Below are 11,315 nucleotides of genomic sequence, written 5' to 3'. Positions count from 1 at the left end.
AAGACGTATTCTTGGCAGCAGAGTAGGGAGCTGCAGCTGGAAAGGAACTGCACTTCCAGCTGGTGACAGGCAGGTCAAAATGCATGCATCCCAGTGACTGGATGTGACACCTACAGAAGGAACATTAGCCACGAGGTCATCCAAAATGATCCCTACCCAGAGGGGCAGCATCCTATAGTCCCAAGATTACAACAGTAAGTGGCTCCTGGTGGAGAAAGCTAAAGCAGATCAACATTGGCAAGGCAACAGAGAGTCATCACCTACATCATGGAAGCTATAGTCTAAGGAAACCAACTAGTTGCCTTTAAAGAACTCACAAAATACCTTGCAAGAGAAGCCACAGCTTTAAATACCTGCTAGATACAGGACATATGAAGGCTGCATGCAGTAGTGCCAGGCAAGGAGGAATGCTCTCTGCCTCCTTTTGCATCTTCTCTCGTTTCATACCATCCTTAGGGATTAGAAGTAGCATCTATCAGCAGGGTTAGGATTGAGTGACAAGAATAGTGAAGCCCACTCCAATTAATTTTTCTGACAGCCACAGCCCTCCTAAGGCTGATCCTAGCTGACAGAGGAATAGAAAGGCAAATTATCTCAAATAGAGATTCAAATAATATATCTTCACCCATCCTTCTTTTTGTCTTCATTTACTCTCTGACCTTCTAAGATTGACTTTCTCTGTGCTGTTTCTTTACAGTTACATCTTTTTTTTTTTTTTGAGATGGAGTCTCACTATGTTGCCCAGTCTGGAGTGCAGTGGTGCGATCTCAGCTCACAGCAACCTCTGCCTCCCAGGTCCAAGCAATTTTCCTGCCTCAGCCTCCAGAGTAGCTGGGACTACAGGCACGGGCCACCATGCCCAGCTAATTTTTTTGTATTTTTAGTAGAGACGGGGTTTCAGTGTGTTAGCCAGGATGGTATCGATCTCCTGACCTCATGATCCGCCCACCTCGGCCTCCCAAAGTGCTGGGATTACAGGCAAGAGCCACCACGGCCGGCCTAGTTATATCTTTTTTTTTTCTTTCTTACTGCCATTGCTTTTTTTCCTTAAAGGTGAGTTTGCTGTAGGGGGAGAAATTTGGCCTGGTAGGAGGAACTTGCCAATGTGTGGAGATGTTATGATTACTATAACTAAGGAGGTGATGCTACGGGCATCTAGGGGAAAGGGTCATGAATGCTGGCAAATGTCTTAGAAGACGCTCCCTACTGACTCTCTTACCTTATGATATCTATGACCGGACATTTTAATTTGCTGAAAACATGAGACTGTGTTTGCCACTTAAAGTGACCATGTATTTTATACCATCTAAAAATGACCAGAAATTATAGCATCCTCCCCCCACTTTTATCTAGTGGTAGAGAAAAAAATTTATCCTCTGTACAAGTTTAAAGAGACAATAAGACAAAAATAAACTCTCTGTTAGCTCTAATTAGTCCTACTTGATTAACATAGATTACATACACACATTTACTTTCCTTCACCATGATGTAAGAAGTCAATGATTTAAAAAAAATTAACAAAACTCTCAAATATTAATTAGAGTTAGACAGATAAATATATAAAAGATAGATTTATTTAATATATGTATGTGTATATATATATATATATATACACACACACACACACACATACAAACAGATATTGGTAAGGGGAGTGTCTAAACACTCAAGTCAGTATATATGCAATGCACAGAGACTGTTTGTATATTTCCAATAGGAGGGATCTGTTCCTTGGATTAATATACATGCACCCAGCCCTCTTAATAACTACATTTTTTAGAGTTTTACTTGTCCCACTTCATTAGTTACATGAAGCATATTTTTGTAATTTATCAAAGCCTCCAAACACTTAATAATTCTCTGGCTTTTTTTCCCAGTTTTTCCATTATCACTGATTCTCTTCCTGATAACCCAGCCTGGATCTAATCACCAATCATTTTACCTACATTCTATCCTGGGATCTCTTTCTTTCCATCTAATTCCAGAACCACGCCTGCCCTGTTAAAACCTCAAACGCTGATCTGTCTCACCATTTGTTTTCTATTTATTGATTCCCTTGAGGTTGAACATTGTTGGGGAATATTTCATCAGCTTGCTGATTGGCACCACTTCAGCTTATTATTCAACCTCAGCTGCTCCTCAATATTCCTTGGCAAGTTATTTTTGCAAAAGCTAAATCATATCCTCTATCAAACTCCTAAAAATCTGCTAGCATCAAACCACTCTCTCACATTTCATAGCTGTTCTGCTCTTACTTTTTGGGGGAAATATTGAGTCCTTCAGTTATACATTTACTCTCCCCAAACCCATTTCTTCACCCATCCTTCTTTTTGTCTTTCTTCACTCTATTACCTTCTAAGATTGACTTTATTTGTGTTATTTCTCTATAGTTATATCATTTTTTAGTGTTTTTGTTTGTTTGTTTTCCTAACTGCCATTGCTTTGTTTCCTTAAAGCTCAGTTTGCTGTAGGGGGAGAAATGTGGCCCTGTAGGACACACTTGCCAATCTCTGGGGATGTTATGATTATCACAATCAAAGAGGTGATGCTACCAGCATCCAGGGGAAAGGGCCATGAATGCTGGCAAATGTCTTAGAAGGCACTCCCTAATGACTCTCTTACTTTGTAATTAATTCATTAAAATTATCATCTAAGTTTTGTTGGATTTAATTACAAATACATAATACACCTTAATTAAATATTTTCATAGAAAGGTAAAATAATTTTAAACATTAAAAAAAGAAGACACATATATTCATCAGGCAAAAACATTAACAGAAATACTTATTTTATGGCACTCTAATAACATTTTAAATTACAAAAAGAGTCTTTGAGAAATAGAGATTTTCCTTCTTTTTGCTGTTGTTTCCCACTCTGCTTTCCTAGTCACCCTTCCCAATTTGCAGAATTATTTATTTGGCACTGTTGAACATAATCAGTTGAGAAAAACAAGAGCATGGTTTCTATCTCAAATTTGAGTTTTCCAGGCTCTGCTCTTGCCACATCCCTTCTCGTTTGAGTTAATCACAAGGGTGGGGAACACATACAATTCCCGACTTCAACAATTACTTCTTCTGCCTCACACCCATGGGAGAAGTCTTTATAGATAAAGTAATGATCTGCAGCACGTTAAATGTGCCTCTCTGACCAACCTTGGGAGGAGAAAACGACAGGAAACAGTAACACTTGGGAGCACTTGTGCATTATAATGCTTTAATAAGTTGATATGCATTGGATTCTGTAAAATATATAAAAAAGAAAAAGATTATTATGGTTTAGCTTTTATATTAAAACCTAAGAAGGAAATAAGGAAAAGGGATCTTCTTGAACCAAAAATGTTGTTTATTGTTGTCGTTGCTCTTCAAGAAAATCCCCTCAAGTAGTTAATGCAGCATGGTGTTTTCGAGAAAGATTGGGACATTTTTAAAGTTATTGTTCTGTAAAAGCATAGGTTATTAAATCCATTCAGTTTGGAAACACTTTGAGTGTGTTATTCTCTCTCATAGGCTCCGAGTGTTGTCTTGAAAATGCCTTTTCTAAGCATCTAAAATTGTAAAAGCAGGAAAGCTTTAGCCAGCCTCTAAGCTTGAGCAGATTTCCAAAATCAATCTGTGATCTGTCCTTCTAAAGAACTGAACCTAGATTGCTAAATACCAGCAAAAATTATACTTCTCCTTGTTTAATGCTTTTCTACACTGTTTTTCCCTTCAGAAACTGTTCTTCTGATAGAGGGTATTCACAAAACCATTTTTATTTATTTTGGCATTTTGTATTCATGTTGGTTGATTTTCCACATATATAGTTCAGCAATTTTTGCTTTAGGTTCCCATGAAAGTTTCCTATGATTGAACAATGGGTGAATAAAAACAAAATTGTGGGTTATTTTGCATATAGGTTAGACAAAACAAACCTTTTGCCAATAAATTGTTCTCTCGATTTTCATTTAACTTCTTGACTAAAATAAAAGACATCTGAATGTTTAGGCTTCCTTCATAAACGCAGCTTGTGTTCATGTCATTAAAACAATCTCACCAGGCTTTGGTTAGAAATTTACATTCACAGTAGCAGTTGTTTAAAGACAAGAAGTAGAGGCGTTATATTGAAGGCCATATATTGAATGCCACAAAGGGCATGACAAGATCAAATGACTTGGATTGACAAAATAAGTATGTCAGATGCTAAATCATTTATCCAGATTGTTGATTATTTAGAGGTTGATGATGCTACTATTCAGGGCGCAGCCAAAATTCCTTGCCTTTTTTTTCTTCATTCCATTCTCCACCACCACCCTGTACACTTCCCCGTTGCCATTTCACTCTTGCTGCTTTGGAGTAAAATGGGATATCCTGGAATAAAGTTGCTTGCCGATGACTGTATCATTGATTTTAAACAATTTATGTTCTACTTGTAGATCTGCAATCTCTATAGATAATTTATGTGTAAATTAGTAGATGGATTTTGTGGATTATCTGTCATGCTAGGAAAATTTAAATTGTACTAAAAGCATGAAAAAGTAATCTTATTTGACAAGTAGTTCTATCATCTACATGAGGAATGCAAACCTTAAGTATCCTCTGCATAGAACATTAATTGAATGGTAAATACATTCACAAAACATATAAATCCAATGTTTTGACTGTTTCCCTAAGAGTGCTAAGACAACTTCTTGCCCATAATGCACTCCACACTGTTTAATTGACTGTTTGTTAGAAAACCCCATCGCAAAATGATATTCAATAAAGTCATGTGACCCTCTTCAAATATTTTTAGTCCCTGTATCTAATACCTACACCTAACTTTCTTAGGTCAATGGACCAATTTAGTTTTAAATATATATAAAAATAACTTCCTGGCCAGGCGCAGTGGCTGAGGTCTGTAGTCCCAGCACTTTGGGAGGGCAAGGTGGGCAGATTGCTTGAGCTCAGGAGTTCAAGACCAGCCTGGGCAACATGGTGAAACCTTGTCTCTACAAAAAAATACAAAAATTAGCTGGGTATAGTGGTGCACACCTGTAGTCCCAGCTACTTGGGAAGCTGAGGTGGGAGGACTGCTTGAGCTTAGGAGGCAGAGGTTGCAGTGAGCCGAGATCGCACCACTGCACTCCAGCCTGGGTGACAGAGTGAGACTCTGTCTCGAAATAAATAAATTTCTTCATAGTTTTATCAATTATGACATGCTTTTCGGATCTTGAATCAAGTATCTCCTCCGTGGGGAAGTTACACAGTTTTCTCTGACATTGTCCCCAATCTAAGCTAAGTGTCCCTCATATGGCCTGTCAACTCTACAGGAAGCTTTTGGATGAAAGGGTATGTATCAGTCAAGTTTCAATCAGGGGACCAGAACCAGTAGGAGCTATATGTTAAAGGATTTATTTCCGTGAGTGGGCTTATATGATCGTGGAGGCTGATTAGGCAAGTCCAAAGCCCGTAGGGCAGACCTTCAAGAAAGGAGACTGAAATTCTAGAGCATGAACTAAAGCTTCATTCCACAGGCAGGACTTATTATTATTCAGGGAAACCTCAGTTCTGGTACTAAGCCTTTTAACTGACTGAATCAGGCCCATCCAGATAACCTAGGATAATCTCCTTTACTTAAAGTCAACTGATGATAGACCTTAATCACATCTACAAAATATCTTCATAGCAACACCTAGATTGGTGTTTGATTAAAAATTGCTACTAGAACCCTGCCAAGTTGACATAGAATTGATTGTCATAGGGTCTATGTCTTTTTCCATCTTTTTATAATAAAAAATGTCAAAAATACAAAAGAGTGGGAAGAAACTTAGAAAAAAACACCAACATGCTCCCTACCTAGAACTGAAATCTATTAACACTTTAACAAATTTGCTCTGTGTGTCTATGTGTGCATATTTGCATGTACTTTTGAAAACCTTTGAAAATCTATTGCACACAAATATCCCTATGTCTCTAAAAAATTTAACATCCATAGCCTAAAAATAGTACGTTCTTTTTCGTAACCACAATTACATCTCCTACCAAAAATTAAATAATCCTAGAAAAATCATCAAAAATTAGTTTATATTTGAAATTGTTCCAAAGCAAGGAAAGCAAACGTGAAGAAATGAGGGAAGGGAAAAATAGAGAAAGGAATATATAAAGAGGAAATCCTGACGTTTCCTTCTAAGATTTAAGGTCAGATGGGATACATGTTTTTAAAACATTCCTTATCTTATCATCTCGGGTATCTAAGTTCAGTGTTGGGCAAGCTGGGTGTGGAGTACATCCAACAAAGAAACGGGACAATGCCTCCAAACCCTTCTCACATCTCCGAATTTTATAAGCTGCAAATTGTTAATATATTACATCTAAATCCAAGATGTGCACTGTAATATTTGATTATTTGGATGGTCTACATTTATTTAACTGCAATCCATTTGCTAGGAATCCATTGTTAGTGCCTTATCATACGCCAAGCAGTGCAGATAATGAATGAGATGATTATATTTTACTGGTTTAATTATTTTTATATCAATAAGTGCTACAAATTCATCCTTACATCATCTACTTCCAGAGCAGAATTACTGTAGAAAACAGAGTTGTTTTTTAAGTAATTTGGATTAAGTGGGATTTTTAAAATACCATTCCTGTATTAATGCCAATTTGAAAGGCTGAGAATATTTGGATTATTTTTATCGGTAATATAAATACATTGTATATAACACTGAAAGTAATTTGTATTCGATTTATAATTATATTAATCCTTCATTCAAAAGCAAATCACTAAATGACTAGCGAGTTGCTTAATAGATTTCAAAATTGTTGTAACACATGGTCCTTGTGATGAAGAAGAGTAGGCAAAATATTAGGTAAAGAGAAATGGAAAGATTGGATAAATAAAAACATGTAAAATTTGGTGACTAAAAAGCACATTTTTGTATCCACTGAACTGTTTCAGTGCCTTTCTTCACTTAACCCTAATTCTCATAAACCCTCACAGACTTTCAAACCATGAGTTAGGAATTACTTGGTTAACAATACTCTATCTGGTTTTCCCAGAATTTTGAGAAGAAGTAACACTCAGGCATTCCTTTAAAGATAACAACTTTATACGTGACAAAATTCATTTTCCCCTTCATTCATTTCATTCCACAAAATGTTTACCCACTTACCCATTATACGAATCCAGTTTCAAATAGGATTTGAGGAAGGATTACTTCAAAGAGTGTTCTCTGAGATATTTTAAAATGGTAATTGACGATATGAGTATTTGCCTAGCTAGAGCAGTTCTTTAGCTGTGGAGAACATCCTGTTCTTTGGAAGTTATTTCACTATATAGCAAATGCTTAAGAAAATAGGAAAAAAAAAAACACTCAGAAAATTACTAACCTTGTATGACTTCAAGTCAACCTTGAAATTTTGTGGTGGGAGAAATACAAAGAAACAGAATTTTGTTTGCCTCCTTCAAAATTTGAAATGTTTATTGCATTTGTTAGAAATTAACATTGAGGCAAAAGAGACCTCCCTTGAGTTTCTGTCTGGCCTTTGCACAATAAATTATGACCTGAAACATGGCCATTAGCAGCATTGGCATAGTGTAGAGACTTTTCCAAAGGCTGTAAATGCCGAGCCACATTGTCCCCCCTACAAAATCACACTGTCTCACAGCCTGTATGGAGCTGAATTTACAGAGTTCTTTTTCGTCAGAACGTGGGGAAAGCTTAAGAATTAGATGTGTGGGTAAGAAAAGGTGAAAAAAGACGTCCTTGATAGGACAGAGCTATAAAACAATCACTTCAACTTAAAATACAGTATATATTACTTTAGTATTAAGTATGCTACTTATGGGGCTTATATGGGTCCCAAAGTTTCTGAATTCAGATCCCAGGCTAATGTTAAAGCAGTTGCAATTACTTTGATAATTTTTGACTTCTACTTCCTCACTCTTTTGCCATATTATATGCCTCTTGGTCTTCAAAGAGAACTGTAATTGAATCCGTTTAACCCAAATATGTCCCACATGCAGCTCAAAAGGCTTCTTAGTTTAGAAATTAGCAAAGTCTTACAAGGATTTTGTACAGTGCTACATTTCCCATTTAAAGACGTTTTCTAGGTCTAACCTAATCCGCTGACTGATGGTTTTCACATACTAATTAACGAGAATAATTTCAGTCATTTGCAGTATGTGACCTCTCAAGCCCCTTTGGTCAAAAGCTTAGTTACCTCTTTTTCATTTTATCATTATTATTATTTTTAATAGAGACAGAGTCTCACTGTGTTGCCCAGACTGGTCTTGAACACCTGGGCTCACTCAATCCTCCCACATTGCCTCCCCAATGTGCTGGAATTACAGGCATGAGCCACCACGACTGTCCCTTAGTTACTTCTTTTTTCGTTGTTGTTTTTTTTTTGTGAAATGTTTGTGCCGTGTGCACGTGGTGTTGTTGGTATTGTTGTTGTTCTGGGTGCGTGTGAGCCTGCTCTTTTTTAAAGAACGGAACCTTCTAAACCTGCAATAAAAAGTTTCAATTACTTTACACAGTGGAAACATTTGAAATATATTTACAAAATTATTTATCCTAGTAACTGTAATTGTCCTAATGGGCTTCACATAAAGGTTATTTCATTTTATCAAACAATTATTTCTTGCTGGATCATAAGAGAAAGAATATTTTTACATATTTTGAAGCCGTATTTGGTTTTTGGGTATTTTCTCTATCAGGAAAAAATGTAGTCACTGAATTATGTCATGAGTAAAAGAAAGTTTGGTGCCAAGCACCATCTTATTATAATTTCCAATATTTTTCATTCTGCCTTGCCATTCATGGCCAAGAAGAAATTCCTTTGCCATGAAAAGCAAATAAATATAGATGAAAACTGAAGGATAAGAACGAGGCATCTAATACAAGTATTAAAAAGTTAATAATTTGGATTTTATACATATGGAGTATGAAATAACTGTACTATGAGTTGTTAGGATTACAGCCATTAATAAAAGTTGAAAAAATTGAAGCAGTAGTAATTTTATCTCTAAAAGCATTCCAGTAGGAACCCTAAATTCTGAGGGGCTCAGTGTCCCAGTGTCTTTTCTCTGTCTGTACTCTCTTTCTCCGGCTAATCTCATTTATCTCATGTCCCATGTCTTAAATGCAGTCCACCAATGAGACCCTCATTAATAACAACCTCTTGCCTGAACTTCAGAAATGTACATCACCTACCTATGTGGCACTTTGACTTAATTGTAACAAGCATTTCAACTTGACCTTGTAACCTACTCACCCATTTCCCCCTGCCTTGATAAATGTTATTATCATCATCTGCCCAGTTATTTATCCAAATGCTTAGATGTCATTAATCCTCATTCCTTTTTTCTCTTCATTCTCACTTTTAATCTGTAGGCAAATCTGCAGGCACTTTTACTACAATGTATATGCTAACTGTTCACTACTCCCCACTATCATTGCTGTAGCACAAGCCTGGGTCTCTGTTTTGTTTACGCATAGATCCTTACTGGACTTCCTGCTCCAAAATCCAAATAGCATGATTTTTCCAAAAATTCAAAATAGATAATGATGTCTCCTTGCTTAGAACCTTCAACAGCTTTCCATTTCGCTTATAATATACACCTCTTACAATGACCAGTCTCTACAGGATCTGGCCCTACCTGCCTGTCTGATTACACATTATACCACTTTTACTTTGCTCACTGCAGCCACATTGACCTTTTTCCAGGTTATTGAGTGTATCAGGGTGGCTTTGCAATGCTTGATTTCTCTTGTCATCTCCACACGGGTAATTCCATGATACAATTAAAATCTCAGTTTCAACTTAAATCCCTCTTACAGCCAGCTTTATTTACATAGTTTGGAGGTGCCCAATGATTACTTTTTGGTTAAATTACCCTCTTTCATTTTTATCATAATATGTACCACTACTTAAAAGTATCTTATTTATGCATTTATTTCTTTATTTTCTGTCTCCCCTCGTATGGAATAACACATTGCCCTTTTTTGGGCCAATCTAATTGTGGTAGAATCTTACCAATTCAAGAATGTCAGGTATGTAGAATATTTTGAACTTTCTTCATCTATAAAAGATGAGGAAATTCCCTTTAACTATCTCACTGGGTTGTTGTGTGTAACAAAACAGATAAGAAAGATGAAAATAGTGTTGAATAACGAAATTTCTATACAATGAAAAATATTATTATTCTCATTAGGTATGGGCCTGGGTAACATCACGGATAATGGGAAGACTTTTCCTATTAGAATATTTTATCATAAACTCAGAACTGTAGAACTCTGTGTCCATCATCACTTAATAATTTATCTAAACTATTACATGTATTGCTACATGAAACTTTTTTTACCCCTATAGCCAGTTGACCTCAAGTCAGTGCTTAGAATCACCACTCAAATGATAACCCTTAAAGATGTTGAAATGACTCAACATATTCTATGAGGCATGATCTCACTGAAAGATAAGGCAGTCAAGAGCTTGTTTTCCTGTGCTTTCTCCCTCAAACATGTCTTCACAATCAACCTCACACTGATAAGAAATTCCCAGCACCAACAAAGAGCACATGGAGACAGCTACTGTCCTTAAACATCATTTCCTTCTACATAAATGAATAAAAACCCCACAAACACAAATAATAATGAAGCTATCATGTCAGCAATAGGACTTTTGTAGACTGATTTCTACCTTGAAATCTAGACAATTAACCTGTCAACTTTTTTTCAGATCTCTCTTATTCTAACATAGATTGAATAATTTCAGATAGTAGGAATGGGTTCTTAACACTGACCTTCGTAAGTTGAAATTCCAAGAATGTGAAACAGCTGCCATTTACAGAGATAAGCCTATAAAGCTTTATAAAGCTATAAAGCTGAGAGATTTCAATGTCAAAAAATTGGGCTGCTATTAGCAACAATTTAAAAGTTCTGAGCTTTATTAAGTAAACTGAAGAATAAGACATAAATAGAGAATACAAACAGATACTAATCACCACACTCAGCCTAGCCTTGTGGCCATCGATGATCTTGGATATATTCTACATAATGATATCTGTGTATAAGGAAAAAGTAGTAATATCTATATTCCTGCCACATGCATTATTTCATAAGCACATTAGATATATTTTTTGTTTAGATTATCTTATCTCCCATATTTAGAAGTCAAGTACCAATTTTTTTCTTGCTCTATTCTTCATATTAGTTTCCAAAATTACACTAAGATTACTTAGAATTTTTGACTTCCTGCAATGCATTTTTTTAATCCACCACACAAATCACTTTAAAATAAAGATAATAATGAAAGAAAGTTGGCGCCACAACTGAGCCCTCAGTATGTGAC

This window comes from Homo sapiens, chromosome 21 (genome assembly GCF_000001405.40).
Source record: "Homo sapiens chromosome 21, GRCh38.p14 Primary Assembly".
Taxonomy (NCBI): Eukaryota; Metazoa; Chordata; class Mammalia; order Primates; family Hominidae; genus Homo; species Homo sapiens.
This window is presented reverse-complemented; position numbering follows the sequence as displayed.